Here is a 16,547-nt window from a genome sequence, read left to right on the forward strand (position 1 = left end):
GATCCCAATTTTGTTACAACATCGAAAGCATCATAATCAGGAGCAAGTCGAACATATGCCTTGTTCTCTTTATCAGGACAAATCAGGGTGGTGACCTTGGCCACATCACTGTCATAGAGCTTCTTCACAGCCTGTCTGATCTGGTGCTTGTTGGCTTTAACATCCACAGTGAACACAAGCGTGTTGTTTTCTTCTATCTTCTTCCGGCCGACTCAGTGGTCAGCGGAAACTTGATGATAGCATAGTGGCCAAGCTTGTTTCTCCTGGGGGTGCTCTTCCGAGGATATCTGGGCTGCCTCCGGAGTCGCAGTGTCTTGGGCCGCCTGAAGGTGGGTGACATGCGGATCTTCTTTTTTGCGTGTGGCTGCGGACACCTTTCAACACTGCCTTCTTGGCCTTTAAAACCTTCACTTTGGCTTCGGCTTTAGGAGGAGCAGGAGCTTCCTTCGCTTTCGGTGCCGTCTTGTGAAAAGCGAAAAACATTATTTCAAAAATAATTTGTCTACAGTAAATCTGCCTAAGAATAGTTTCCAAAGTACTTTTGGTAATTTTTAACCTTAAAGTTAAGCTAAGTAAAAGATTTGCATTAAATATCTAGACCATTTATAAATAAGATACAATACTAAAACATTAATTACTGAACATAAATAATTCAAGTTTATATACTTTTGGCTTCCTGTTTTTACAGAGAGACTAAAGATATTTTGGCCCGTTAATAAACATGTTTTTTTCTGCCACACTGAGGAATTGTATTATGAGGAAACACATCCCTCTAGATGTTGGGAGATGGTATATTCATACATTTTCTAACCTACTATAGAATGCTAATATATGACAGTTTATAACTGTCTACTTCCTAGTTTTCTCTGGAAAATAAAAGATTACTAAGTATTAAAATTATAATCAATATATGTAAATAAAACTACTAGAAATAATAGAATAACTAGAAACAACTCTATGCAAAGCATGCAAGAAAAGTAGGGCATGTTTCGCAAGTAAAGTAGGTTGCATTTTTTATAAGGAAAACCATACAGAAGATACAAATAAAAAGAGATACCTAACCTTCCCTGTGTTATATTTGTATGGGTAAAATGTTATGTTTTCAGAAATTATATAAAATTCCTGGAAGTTTGTCAATGTCCTCCTTATCCATGCTATGTGCCACTATAGAGTAATGAGTCATAATTCCAATTATTACTTTAAATGTTGTGCCAGGCACAGTGGCTCATGCCTATAATCCCAGCACTTTAGGAGGCTGAGGCAGGTGGATCACAAGGTCAGGAGATCCAGACCATCCTGGCTAACTCGGTGAATCTCCATCTCTATTAAAAATATAAAAAATTAGCCGGGCGTGATGGCAGGCACCTGTAGTCCCAGCTACTCGGGAGGCTGAGGCAGGAGAATGGCGTGAACCCAGGAGACAGAGCTTGCAGTGAGCCGAGATCGCACCGCTGCACTCCAGCCTGGGCGACAGAGCAAGACTCTGTCTCTAAATAAATAAATAAATAAATGTTGTCTGCCACAGAAAAAATCGAATATTTTGGTAGAAACCCCGTCTCTACCAAAAATACAAAAATTAGATGGGCATGACGGCATGTGCCTGTAGTCCCAGGTAATCAGGAGGCTGAGGAGGGAGGATCGTTTGCACCCAGGAGGTAGAGGTTGCAGTGAGCTGAGATTGCACCTTTGCACTCCAGCCTGGGCGACAGAGCCAGACCCTGTCTCAAAAAAAATTTTTTTAAAGGAAAACTATAGCCATTGAGAGTTATCAGATTCTAGTCTTGTTTCTTGTTTCTGGGCTATTTTTACCTCTTTGTAAACTGGATCCTGCCATCTGATGAATTTTGTCCCACAATGATACTTGGGGAACAAGAAGCCAAGTATTGTCTCTCCTACTAATGTATCTATTGTCAGTTAATTTGAAGGTCTCCAACCCTGGAACAAAGTTAGAAGAGGAAGGTTCTACTCCCCAAAATGCATAACCAAATTGTGCTACATTCATGTAATGGAATACTATTTAGCCATAGAAAGGAACAAGATATCAACACACACAAAGACATGAGTGAATCTTGCATGCACATTGCTAAGTGGAAGAAGACAGTCTGAGGAGGATACACACAGTGTGACCTCATTTAATGAGACACTGGGGAAGGCAAACTACACAGATGGGAAGCCATTGGCTCCATGGGGTGGGGGTTTGAGGCATTCCATATGATACTTTAATAGTGGGATATCTGCCACAATGCATTTGTCGAAATATGCAGAATTTTACAGCCAAATGGTTAAAGCAAACTCTATTCAAATTAAATCAAATTACTCAGGATGTGGAGTATCCCAGGACAGAATACATCATGTGAAAAAGAATTTATGCTATAAATTACGATGGTTTGGATGTGGTTTGTCCCCACAAAAACTCATGTTGAAATTTGACTCCCACTGTGTCAGTGTGGGGCGGTGGGGCCTAGTGGACGGTGTTTGGGTCGTGGGGACGGATCCCTCATGAATAGATTAATGTCCTCCATGGGGGTGAGTGAGTTCTGTTCTCACAGGAATAGATAATTCCTGCAGGAGTAGGTAATTAAAAAGAGTCTGGCTTCCTTGGCTTCCCTCTTGCTTTCACTTCTGCTATGTGATCTCTGGTGCACCCCTTGCTCCCCTTCCACTTTCCACCATGAGGTGAAAAAGACTGAGGCCCCGCCAGATGCAACTGCCCAATCTCGGACATTCCAGCTACCAGTATTGTGAACCAAATGAAACTGTTTTACTTATAAATTACGCAGCCTCAGGTATTCTGTTACAGAAGCACAAAATGGACTAAGACACAAATCTAGGTAAAAACTTTGAAAATGAATAGAATCTGTAGGCTGAAGGCACGTGAACTATACTTCATTATTGGATTCCATTTTATAAAGTTCTTTCCAACAGAAGCAATTGTGAACAATTGTAAAACCACAGTGTCTGTATCTGGAGTAAAACAATGACTTACATAAGTCGCAGATGGTGGGAACCAGCTTTCTCACTGTTGAAGTGGGAGGTTACAAATTAGCAAGACGAGAAGGCTAGAATGATTCCTGTGATAGTAGATCAGAGGTGGAGACATCAACGTAAACTTATGCTTAGTTTAATATAGATACACACAGTTCTACATAGAAAACTTTATAATTAGGTGTGTGTAGGTAGGTTAGACACGCACATATGCTTCCTAGCATTGCTAATGAGGGACAAGATACAATGTGCATTCAGCAGCCACATGTAAGTTTTCCCACCATTCTGAAAGGAATCAGGCTCTTTGAAGAAATGTCTGATACTAGAACTGGGACAGTAAATATAGGAGCCAGGATAATCTGGAAGTATCAGAAAGTAAGTACTAAAAAAATTAAAATATATCAAACAAAAATAAAAGCCAATAAAAACAGCTACCGATGGCCAACACAGGAAGGAATTGTGCAACATAATGCTATAGTGTCGAATAATAACTAAAGCTTAAAGTAATTATCTAGGTGTCTGTATTTGTATACCTAGGTGAATAAGCAAATGGAGTTGCATAGAAATCTCCTTTGCAAAAGAATTCCAAATAACTGATGTAGACACTCAGCCATCAAGAAGGTGGAGCCAACTCCTCACTCCGTAAGTGTGGGCTCTGCATAGTGACTTGCTCCAAAAGAACACATGCAGTATGGACAAGGAGGAAAAATAACTTCACAGTGGAGAAATCTGACAAACAGTAGCTCTGCCAAATGATCCAAGTGAACACCAAAGCTGACAGTTCACCTTGAGAACATGAAGTGACAATGGGGGACATTCTACAAAAATCCTGACCAATCCTCCTCAGTGCTATGAAGGTCATCATGAGATGGAAAGCCTAACACACTGTCACAGCCAGGAAGAGCCTATGTGATGACTACATGTCGTGTGGGATCCTGGATGGGATCCTGGGTCAGAGTAAGATAGAACTAAGGGAATCCAAATGAAATATGAACTTTAGTTAATAACAGTCTATCAGTATTGGTTCATTAACTGCGGCAAATTATGTAAGATATTAATAAGCCATGTGAGACACACTGATAGAAGATGTTAATAAGAGAGGAAACTAGGTTGCGGCTACATGGGAAATCTCTTTTTTTTTTTGACGATTTCTGTGTAAGTAAAAAAAAGACGTAAAATAAAACTTTATTTAAAACACTTTTTTTAACACTTCCTTGTTTAATTATTTATACCATGAATTACTAGTAATTGACACTGTTAACTAGTCCTGTTTTTTAAAATAAGAGCAATTATGACACAAAAAATTAAACAGTGCAGACTGATACATAAATCAAATGTTCTTTACATGTTTTCTGTTACTGTAGTAACACACATGTGTAAACTTAATTATCACATGTTTTTCTTGTGCTGTGGTTGTGTCCTGGGTTCATTCTCTAAAATGCTGTTCATCTTAGACCAGGAAAAATATTAACCATACAGACTCTGTTTCAAGTCATAGCTGAATATTTTCAAAAGAGTGACTTTGTAAAAACATGTTCCAATGGCAAATTGATTCATTGTGATGGGATCAATTATTCCAAAGACTTCTTGTCTTTATTTTGTTGCCATGCCTACCTTTTAGCCATGATACAACAGAATCAAATATTGGCCACTGGGAAAAAATATTCAAAGAAAGAAAGAATGTGAACAGAACTTGTGACCACGATGATTCAATGTTTTACCACAATGCTTTCTAAAACAAGAGTCTAAAAGGATATTCAAAGTCAATTTCCTCAGTGAGGCTTTGCAGAAAATGAGGAAACTAGAGAAACAAAAATGGCAGGACATTCTACGGTTGATTTTAAATGTTGCTATGTTTTATGGGAAAAAATACTTTACCTTTTAAAGAATCACAAAGAATTATTGGAAACCCAAACTCTGGAATGTTTGCAAATTTAGTTGAGCTTCTATGTAATTATGTCTATATAGGTAGCCATGAAGTTGATGATTTCTTAAAAATCTGTGCCTTATTTGTGTAATAAAAGACACAATGAATAATTAATACTCATAGGAACACTTACGAAGGGAAAATAAATCTTGGGGACTCAAAATCACTAAGCTAAAGGGAAAAGTCAAGCTGGGAACTGCCTAGGGCAAACCCGCCTCCCATTCTATCCAAAGACACCCATCTGATCACCGAGATAAATGCATACCTGATTGCCTCACGTGGAGAGGGTAATCAGCAATGCAAAAGAATGAAACCATTTGTCTCTTACCTACCTGTGACCTGGAAGCCCCCTGTCTGGCCTTCTCACCTTTCTGGACTGAACCAATGTACATCTTACACATATTGATTGATCTCTCGTGTCTCCCTAAAGTGTATAAAACCAAGCTGTGCCCCGACCACCTTGGGCCCATGTTGTCAGGATCTCCTGAGGAGGCATCACAGGTGCACATCCTCAAGATTGGCAAAATAAACTTTCTAAAAAATCTGAGAGCTGTCTCAGATTTTCAGGGTTCACACATGTAATGTAGGATGTCAATGTTTATAAAAGGGATGTTATTCTATCTACTATTAGAAATATGCTGTCAATTAACCTTAAACTTTCTCAACAAAATAAAAAATGTTGATGAGGTACAAATAATATATCTAAGCTTAAATAGTGTTGCAGGTTTTAATATGCCTACTTTTCAATTTTTCAATACTATCTTTACTAATTTAACACTGTAAGAAAAATGAGTAATTAAAACATGAATAAAAGTGTTTACAGGGGATGCACATGTTTCCTCCAGCCTCTGCCTATACCCAACTTTCATCCCAACTGTCCTGATGGTGGCTCTAAGCATTTCTCCTTTCTCTATACCAAGATCTCTCCCCAGAAACAAACCCAAATCTTACTATATGTTATGGCACGCTATGATGATGAGCAGCGATGAGCAGCCGAAGCCTCAAGGAAGGGATGCTTTTGTAAAACAAGACTTGTGGAATATAACATGTGAAAGTAAAGCCCACGGCAGAGCTCCCTCCTCAGCACACGGGGAGCAGACAGGAAGTTTTTCCTCACCTTCCTCAATGGCCTGCAGCCACGTCTCCCCAGGTCAGTCTTAAGGACAATGAAACTCTGGTCTTCACTGTGGACATGCCACACTACCAGGTGCTCCAAAGCCATGGTGACCCGTCCTCGGGTGGGTCCTGAGGAGAACAAAGCTCTGGTTCTAATCCTAACCCTAACCCTGTCCCAAGACTTTGACACTGAACCTAAATCCTGATCCCTATCCTGGTCCCTAATTCTGACCCTGACTTTGATCTCGACCCTGACCATGACCCCACCTCTAACCATACTTCTGGCCCTGACTCTGACCCAGATCCTAATCCTATCCCTAACCCTATTATTATCTTTACAATCTATGTCTAATCTTACCCTCTAGTGCTAAATAGCTGTACCCAAAAGCACTTTTAAATTATTTAACTTCTTTTCCTTGAATTCTCTAAGGACATCCTAAAGGAGATGTCAATATGTATTTTGCATTCCCTCTGAGTGGTATGGCTTCAGATAAGAAGTTCTAATACTTTGCAAGACATAAAAAGTTTGGAGGGTGACAGCACTGGGTTGTTAGGGATGCATGTTGGCATTCGTGGTAGTCATAGGTGCTGTTCTCCAGATATTTTCAGTTCATATTTTATGAATGCATTCTGACTGTTCCATCCCGCCTACTTACATTTTCACATGGCCACGTGACTTTTTTTTTGCCAATGGAGGTGAGAAGAAATAACATGTGACTTTTTCAGGAGAAATCTCCAAGAAACAGAGTTCTATTCCGCATACTTTTTTCTCTTTTCTATAGCAATGGGGATCTTACTGATTGTCCCTCCTTCCGTCTGGATTCCTGTGTTAGGATGACACAGCACAGAGCTACCTCTCACCTGACCCATGATGAAATGTAAATAAATGAGGAAGAAGATTTTTGAGCCACTGAAATTTGGAGGTTGTTTGTCACCACAGTTTAACCTAGCCCCCATTTACTGATGCACGGCTGAAGAATGAGTCCGAACTGGATCTAGACAAGACATGTGAAGAGCACGCCAGGCTGAGTAAAATTCAAGTGTTGTCTCAAAGATAACACTGAGCACGATATGTTATTGGGGTGGGTGTGGGATAAATAAGGTATATCAGGTGAGAATAACAAGAAACTCAACTTTAAAAGACGGTGCCGATTTGGAAGACACCAAATTGGAAGACAGCAGGAGCTGCCCCATAATACCAGTAAAGTGAGAAGCAGAGATAAACTAGTCCTAGACAGCTGACTCATGTTGGGGGCAGCCCACTCACAGTGACCCTGACCCAACTCTGACTAGAGGCCACTTGCTCTCAACACCAGGGTGCTCAATGGCCCGTCCTGGTACTCTGCTCTACACTGGTTGTAGGAAGGAATCTACAGGTTGAAATAAGGAGATCATTTCCCTGAGGTTCCGAAGCTCGTATTTACTCACCATTTGTTGTTTACTGCTAATGTTGAGCACTGTCAGTAAAATACATAAAACCCTTTGCCAATCCAGGAAGTGAAAATGACACTTTACTGTTTTAATTTGCATTTCTCTGCTTACAAGTGGATTACACACATTTTCATGTGCTGTTGGCTACTTATTCATTCAGAAAACATACTAAGTGCTGGCTCTTTTTCATGTCCTTTATCAAGTTTGGATCATGTCATTTGCTATTTTCTTTCTGATGTAAACTCTCAAAGTCTGAAGGGTATTGTCTTTTCCTGACACATATGTTGTAAATAATTTTCTGGCTTACATTTTGACTTTTAATTTCATTCACGATGTTTTTAATGAATAATTTTAATTTTTATGAATGCAAGTTAAAATAATTCTTTCATTGTGGTTTCTGACACGTCATGCCAATAAGGGTCTTCTCCTCCAAGAGCACAGAAATATTTGCCAATACTGTCCTTAAAATCGGTCACAGTTTCATTTTTTATATATGCATTTTACTTCAATTGGGGCTTCATTTTACTGAATGCCCTATTTGAAGCAAGTTTCTCAGTTAATTCTTTTCTCAAAGGGCTAAGTATGGTAGATTGCAAACATAAGTGGCCACATAATGCTCTCACCTCCTTTGCCTCCTCTCCCAGGAGGAGATAGCGTCCATCTTTCCACTCCTTAATCTGGGCTTGGCCGTGTGACTTGCACTGGCCAATGGGATATTAACAAGTCTGATGTGCACAGAGGCTGTAGAATGTGCACGGGGGCTTGGTCTCTCTTGCTGCCCTGGAGACCAGCTGCCCCACGAAGGAACCAGAGCCAACCTGCTGCTTCCTGGAGGAAGACAGTCCCTCTGTCCCTCTGTCTCTGCCAACCAGTTAACCTGCTGCTTCCTGGAGGGAGACAGTCCCTCAGTCCCTCTGTCTCTGCCAACCAGTTAACCTGCTGCTTCCTGGAGGAAGACAGTCACTCTGTCTCTGCCAACCCAGTTGACCGCAGACATGCAGGTCTGCTCAGGTAAGACCAGCACAGTCCCTGCCCTGTGAGCCAAACCAAATGGTCCAGCCACAGAATCGTGAGCAAATAAGTGATGCTTAAGTCACTAAGATTTGGGCAAAAGCTGAGCATTTATCCCAATCCCAATACTGTTTGTCCTTCTGTTTATCTGTCTGTCCTGCCCTGCTCATTTAAAATGCCCCCACTGCATCTAGTACATTTTTATAGGATCAGGGATCTACTCTTGGATTAATGTTGTGTTCCCACCTCGAGGCAGCTTTGTAAGCTTCTGAGCACTTCCCAATTCCGGGTGACTTCAGGCGCTGGGAGGCCTGTGCATCAGCTGCTGCTGTCTGTAGCTGACTTCCTTCACCCCTCTGCTGTCCTCAGCTCCTTCACCCCTGGGCCTCAGGAAATCAATGTCATGCTGACATCACTCTAGATCTAAAAGTTGGGTTCTTGGACCAGGTGTGGTGGCTCACACCTGTAATCCCAGCACTTTGGGAGGCCGAGGCGGGTGGATCACAAGGTCAGGAGATCAAGACGATTCTGGCTAACACGGTGAAACCCCGTCTCTACTAAAAATACAAAAAAATTAGCCGGGTGTGGTGGCAGGTGCCTGTAGCCCCAGCTACTTGGGAGGCTGAGGCAGGAGAATGGCTTGAACCTGGGAGGTGGAGCTTGCAGTGAGCCAAGATCACGCCACTGCACTCCAGAATGGGAGAGAGAGCGAGACTTTCTCAAAAAAAAAAAAAAAACTTAGGTTCTTGGATGTTCGGGAAAGGGGGTTATTATCTAGGATCCTTGAAGCGCCCCCAAGGGCATCTTCTCAAAGTTGGATGTGTGCATTTTCCTGAGAGGAAAGCTTTCCCACATTATACAGCTTCTGAAAGGGTTGCTTGACCCACAGATGTGAAGCTGAGGCTGAAGGAGACTGATGTGGTTTCTCCTCAGTTTCTCTGTGCGGCACCAGGTGGCAGCAGAGGTCAGCAAGGCAAACCCGAGCCCAGGGATGCGGGGTGGGGGCAGCTACGTCCTCTCTTGAGCTACAGCAGATTCACTCTGTTCTGTTTCATTGTTGCTTAGTTTGCGTTTTGTTTCTCCAACTTTGTGCCTCATCAGGAAAAGCTTTGGATCACAATTCCCAGTGCTGAAGAAAAGGCCAAACTCTGGAAAAAATTTTGAATATTTTGAGCCAAATGTGAGGACCACAACCTGTGAGAACGGAAAATAAATCCTGGGACCCCAGACTCACTAAGCCAAAGGGAAAAGCCAAGCTGGGAACTGGCTTATGCAAACCTGCTTCCCATCTGGTTCCTAAATAAGATAGCTATTACACAAAGATAAAAAAGCTACATCCCTGCCTCTACCTCCATCACATGTAAAATGTGTATTCAGTGAACGCTGACCAAAGACAGAAGAATGCAACCATTTGCCTCTGATTTACCCACACCCATTTTTTCCACTTCTTCCCCTTTCCCCAACACCCACACTTCTCCCCTTTACTTACTGAGGTCCCCAGACAATCTTTGGGAAAAGCACGGACCACAGTTTTTCCTGTGGTTCTCTGTTCTTTTCTCAGGTGTGTCCTTAACCTTGCAAACAGATTTCTTGAAATGATTGACACTCACCTTGGTTGTGTTCTTTGATCAGCGCCTGTGACGCAGCTTCAGGAGGTCCTGAGAACGTGTGCACAGTTTAGTCGGCAGAAACTTAGGGAAACGTAAGACCACCATCAGTACGTAGGAGTTGTGCATTGGTTTGGTCTGGAAGGAGGAAAATTCAAAGTAATGGGGTTTACAGGTCATAGATAGATTCAAAGATTTTCTGATTCTCAATTGGTTGAAAGAATTATTATCTACAGACCTGCTATCAATAGAAAGGAGAGTCTGGGTTAAGATAAGAGACTGTGCAGACCAAGGTTCTTATTATGTAGATGAAGTTTCATAGGTGGCCACCCTTAGAGACAATAGATGGCAAATGTTTCCTGTTCAGACCCATAGAAGGTGCTAGGCTCTCAGCCAATGTCTTCAGGATCAGAGAAAGACCTGGAAAGGGAAGGGATTCTCTACAGAATGTAAATGTCCCCCACAAGAGACAGCTTGGCAGGGCCATTTCAAAGTATGTCAAAGAAATATATTTTGAGGTAAAATATTGATTTCATGGCCTCTGTCTGTCATGTGATGCTGCACTGGAATCAGGTTGGAATTTGGTATCTTATTGCTAGAGAGCCTTGTCAGTCTTCAGATCTCTGTTTTAATGTTGGTTCTGGTCAGTTCTGCCCAAATTCCAAAGGGAGGAGGGTACAATGAGGCCTGTCCAGCCCCCACTCCTCCTCATCACGGCCTGAACTAGTTCTTCAGGTTTCTCTGGAATCCCTTTGGCCCAGAGGCGGGGTCCACGCGATCGGCTGTGGGGCTTAGAATTTTATTCTTGGTTTACGGCAGCTTTAGGGAGGTGCTCTGAGACCCGAAACTAGACTCGACTTTAACAGACACAGACGACCCTGAAGGCGAGACTGTCTGCTGGTGGGATGCTGGGCGAGTTGCTTAATGTCCCTGAGCTGCTATTTGCTAACTGTGAAGTGGGATCCTGGTCCCTGACAGGCAAGATTTTGGCACACGGAGAGCTGGTGCACGTGGGCGGCTGTCCCCTAAACTCGCGTCCCTTCTTTTTAATCATACCCCACTGGCTGCACCTACACCTCCTCCCAGGCACACACCGAAGAGGATGAGCTCTGGTCCTCGAACCTCTTGTCTGCTCCCACCAGGCAGATTCTCTGTTCCCCGTGCCCAGGCAGCAGTGGTGGACACCAGCATCCCGGAATGGTGTAGAAAGGCTGACCCCATCATAGCCAAAGCCTGGGGTTTCCTGTTTCCCTCCTCCTCCTCCCCACTCCTCCCCCGACCCCTCCCTCCTCCACTTACCCCCATCCCCTGCATAATGGGTTTCTAGCTGCCTCCTCTGCCTGCCCAAACAGGACAGGCAGGAAAAACTGGCTTGGTTCTGAGTAGGCAGTTTCAGGGCCTTAAGGAGAAATTCATCGGCCATTAATCAGGACCTTCCCTCCGGGGAGTTGGCAGCTTCAGGTGTGGTCTCTGGAAACAAGCCCCACAAATTATTATCAGAGAACCTCTGTCTTGGGTGGCAGAGGCAGCCTGGTTGGGGTGGGCACCCCGGCTACGGAAAGGAGCAGCTCCCTCCACTTTCCTTCCTGCTGCATGTGGAGAGGCTCGAGCGGGGCACAGTCCATGACGAGATATTAATCTTGTGTTTGGATTTTTCCTTTTTTTTAATAAAGAAGAAAGATAAGGTATTGTGCTCATCTTGTAAAAATCAAGCACACAGTACATCAGTCTATTCTACAAAGAAACACAACCTAAGCAAAGATTTGTTATAGGCAGTGGCCAGTTACAGAAACAGTAGGACTTGCATTAGGGGTTTTGTATGGGAAAGAAAGGGAGTCAGACACAGACGTGATGGTGGAGACAGGGGCAGGAAGACAGAGCAGCTGACACTTCCAGAAATAGCTGGCCAGAGGCCAGCAGGAGGGAAACACCAACCCGAGGAAAGAGAGACGGGGATTGGGAGAGAAATTCAGAAGAGACTGAGGCACGCACACAGACAGACACACCCACCCACACACAGATACGGATTCAAAGAGACATGCACACTCTGAGTTTCTGAGAGTAAGCCACTGTCAGTTCCTGGGGTGAGCCACCAGCCACATGGACACAATTTCCTCTTTTTGGTAAGTCTTTGACCTGTCTGAACCCCCTACTTAATTACCTATAAAATGAGTCATTGCAAGGATGACAAAGACGCTCTCCTTGACCAAACTCCACTCAGGCTCCTTTGAGCCTTCTCCTTGATGAAGCCTCATCCTTGGCCTGCTGAGCTCAGTGCTAGCAAGGAATGCTGCTAAGGTCCTTAGTGAGAATCTTCCCCACCCTTGCTAACTAACCAAGCTCCTTTCAACAACTTTTCATCACCTCCCTCACCCTGCTCATTGGCTATCCCCACTTGTCTCTGTTGTATTGAGAGTTGAATTCAGTCTCTCTCTCTCCTCTTGCAATAGTTTTTTTTTTTTTTTTTTAAGAGACAGGGCCTTGCTCTGTCAACCAGGCTGGAGTGCAGTAGCACAATCACAGCTCAGAGCAGCCTCAAACTCCTAGGCTCAAAGGATCCTCCCACCTCAGCCTCCTGCGTAGTTGGGACTACAGGTGTATGCCACTGCACCAAATAATTTTTTAAAACATTGTAGAGATGGGGTCCTGCTTTGTTGCCCAGGCTGGTTTTGAAGTCCTGGCTTCAAGTGATCCTCCCACCTGGGCCTCCAAAGGTACTGGGATTACAGGCATGAGCCAACCTATCAGCCTGGTAATCAGCCTGGTAATCACGTAAAACAGACACATAGACCAGTGGAACAGAATAGAGAACCCAGATATAAATCCACACATTTACAGCCAGCTCATCTTCAGCAAAGGCACCAACAACATACGAGCGAAAGGACGGTCTCTTCCATAAGTGGTGCAGGGGAAACTAGATAAAGATATGCAGAAGAATGAAACTAGACCCGTCTCTCTTACCATACACAGAAATCAAATCAGAATGGATTAAAGGTAAAACTGAGACCTGAAAGTATAAAACTACTGGAAGAAAACATTAGGGAAGTGCTCCAGGACATTGTTCTCAGCAAAGACTTTTTCAGTAGGGCCCCAAAAGCACAGGCAACCAAAGCAAAAACAGACAAGTGAAATCACACCAAGCTAAGAACCCTCTGCAGACCAAAGGAAAAAGTCAACAAACTGAAGAGACAACCCACAGAATGGGAGAAAATACTTGCAAGCTACCCACCTGAAAAGGGATTCATAACCAGGAGCTCAAACAATAGCAAACAATTAATCGAATTTTAAAATGGGCAAGAGACCTGAGTAGACATTTCTCAAAAGAAGATGTACAAATGGCCAGCAGGTACATGAAAAAATGCTCAACATCACTAATCATCAGAGAAACGCAAATAAAAAACTGCAATGAGGTCTTCTCTCACCTCAGTTAAAATGGCTTTCGTCAAAAACGCAGGGAATAAGGGATGCTGGCGAGGATGTGGAGAAAGGGGGACCCTCACACACTGTTGTGGGAACGTTGATTAGTACAACCACTATGGAAAACAGATGGAGGCTCCTCAAAAAACCAAAAGGGGCCGGGCACGGTGGCTCACGCCTGTGGTCCCAGCACTTTGGGAGGCCAAAGCAGGGGGATCACAAGGTCAGGAGTTTGAGACCAGCCTGGCCAACATGATGAAACCCCATCTCTACTAAAAATATAAAAAATTAGCCAGGCGTGGTGGTGCGACCCTGTAATCCCAGCTACTTGGGAGACTGAGGCAGGAGAATCACTGGAACACAGGAGGTGGAGATTGCGGTGAGCAGAGAGCGCACCATTGCACTCCAGCCTGGGTGACAGAGCAAGACTCCTCCTTAAAAAATAAATAAATAAATAAAAGTTGGCCGGGCGCGGTGTCTCACACCTGTAATCCCAGCACTTTGGGAGGTGGAGGCGGGCGGATCACAAGGTCAGGAGATCGAGACCATCCTGGCCAACATGGTGAAATCCCGTCTCTACTAAAATACAAAAAATTAGCTGGGCGTGGTGGTGCGCACCTATAAATCCCAGCTACTCGGGAGGCTGAGGCAGGGGAATCGCTTAAACACAGGAACCCGGGAGGCAGAGGTTGCAGTGAGCCAAGATCACACCACTGCACACCAGCCTAGTGACAGAGCAAGACTCCATCTCAAAAAACAAACAAAAAAAAAAAAAACCATCTAAAAGTAAAACTGCTGTATGATCCAGTAATTTCACTAACTGGGCCTATAGTCAAAAGAAACAAAATCAATATATCGTAAAGACATCTGCACTCTCATGTTTACTGCGGGACTACTCACAATCGCCAAAATACGGAATCAGCCTCTGAGTTCATCAGCGGATGATGGATAAACAGAACGTGGTGTGTATACACAGTGGAATATTATTCAGCCATACAGAGGAACGACAGCCTGTTATTTGTACAAGATGGAACTAGGGATCATTATGTTAAGTGAAATAAGCCAAGCACAGAAAGACAAACATTGAATGTTCTCTCCCACCTACTAAAAAAGTAGCTCTCGTGAAGACAGAGGGTAGACGCGTGGTTACCAGAGGTGGGGAAATGTAGCGGGGAGAGGGGGAGAAAGAGAAGTTGATTGAAGGGTACAAATACGTGGTTTGATAGAAGGAATAAGACCTAGTGTTACATAGATCATAGTTGGCAATTGCCTACTGTATATTTCAAAATGGCTAGAAGAGAAGAATCGGAACGGTTCTAGCATAAAGCAAAAACAAATATTTAAGGCGATAGATATTCCAAGTAGGCTGATTTGATTTTCACAATTATATGAATGCATTAAACTATCACATGTACCCTGAAACTATGTACATCTATTATGCATCAGTGAAAAAGAAAAAAGAAACAAGAACTTAGATTTTAAACTCAGCACTCTCCTAGTGGGCTCCTTAAAAATATTTTTGTTTGGGAGGACAAAGTAGGAGGATTCCTTGAGCCCGGGAGCTTGAGGCTGCAGTGAGATAGTGCCACTGCACTCCAGCCTGAGCGACAGAGAGATACACTGGCTCTAAATATAAATAATATAAATATATATTTATGGAATAAATAAATGAATAAAATATCTTTGCATGCTGGTGAGCCCAGGGTACAGTCTGCCCTTGGCAGCTCGGTGACTCAGCCAAGGCGGCTAAACAATCCTCGCCCACTAGACAGTGGAGGTCGCCCTCCAGAGGACCTTATCAGATGTACGTGCAAAGCAGTTTTCAAGACAGTTTTCTATTCAGAGTGTGGTTTAGCCGTTCAGGGAGAGAGATCACAAAGGAAAACCACCTTTAGGAAAGCAGGTGAGAAAGGTGTAAGTTCCCAGGCTTGGGGGTCCTGGCCCAGCCTAGCTGTGGGCAACCCCGGGAAGGCTGAGCCCCGCAGGCTGTATGGACAAAGCATCTCGCTTTCCACACTGGCCACAGGTCTATCCCTGGCAGTAAACAGGTCACAGGTGGGCAGCAGGTCTAACACCTGTAGCGAAAGAACGCAGGAGAGGAACTGAGGCTCTGCTACCAGCAGATGCTCCAAGCACATCCCACGGGGAGGACCATGAACAACTCAGCTGGCCACAACCAGGAAAAGGGTGTCCAGGGCCTCAGAGCTGCTTCAGTGGGGCCATTTCCAGGCTCCCAAGCAGTAATGTGGGTGCCCTCTCAAGAACAGAAGCGGAACAGCCTAACGCTAATGTTTGGGAAGAAGAGAACAGTGATCCCCCTGGTTACCTCCCATCTCTCTCTGCAGTTCTCATGCATCTGTGCACACACGCTCACACACACATATGTCCATCAATCCACTCACAATGTTTGACTTAAAGCAGAAACCATATAAAGGGCAGGATAAGGAGAAAAGACGAAAGGAACTGAAAAGATGCAAACAGCCACTAACACGCCAATTTGCACCTTGCACAGGGCCTGGGAAGTAATGACACGGCTTCTCGTTATGCATCAATGATCTCATGTTTTCATTTTAACAAACACCCTAATACAAAAATAGGCTTTATAGGGAGGAGAGAAAATATGTTTTATAGGGAGGAGAGAAAAGCCATTCTGAAGAGCTGGATAGGTTGCCTTTGGCCCACATGGAGTCAGCCCCCTGCCCACGCCACCAGGCTCACGTTCAGGGCCCTGGCTGGAGAAACCTGAGCTGCAGGACCCGCTGCCCACCAATGCAGAAGAGAAGGCAGTATGCTTTTTGCATTGGGTGGAACAAAAACAGAAGAAATGGGAATTTGGTGAGAAATAAGGGAGGTGGTCCTCAGAATCTGCAGAGCAGTGGCTTCCAAACTCTGTGATGCAACCCCAGCCAGAAAAACACTTTACATCATGGCTGAGGGCACATACATGCACGCACATATGCACAATACAGGAAATCTGGAATACAGAAAGCCCTGGAATTCCTAAATAACATCCTGCCCACATGGGAATTCTGCCCTAGCTGATGGCTTCTCCG

At 43.8% G+C, this 16,547-nt stretch overlaps 1 long non-coding RNA gene and 1 pseudogene across 1 annotated transcript; both read right to left on the reverse strand.

Moving 5' to 3' along the window:
- RPL23AP24 (ribosomal protein L23a pseudogene 24) lies at nt 1-473 on the reverse strand (annotated as a pseudogene).
- On the reverse strand, nt 2,738-10,577 carry LOC124900618 (uncharacterized). The gene is made up of 4 exons (XR_002958507.2): nt 10,316-10,577; nt 10,081-10,215; nt 8,717-9,618; nt 2,738-3,071 (listed from the first exon to the last, which is right to left on the reverse strand). It is a non-coding gene; the product is annotated as an uncharacterized LOC124900618 (long non-coding RNA).
- Between the last annotated feature and the right edge of the window lie 5,970 nt (nt 10,578-16,547).

This window comes from Homo sapiens, chromosome 1 (genome assembly GCF_000001405.40).
Source record: "Homo sapiens chromosome 1, GRCh38.p14 Primary Assembly".
Lineage (NCBI taxonomy): Eukaryota > Metazoa > Chordata > Mammalia > Primates > Hominidae > Homo > Homo sapiens.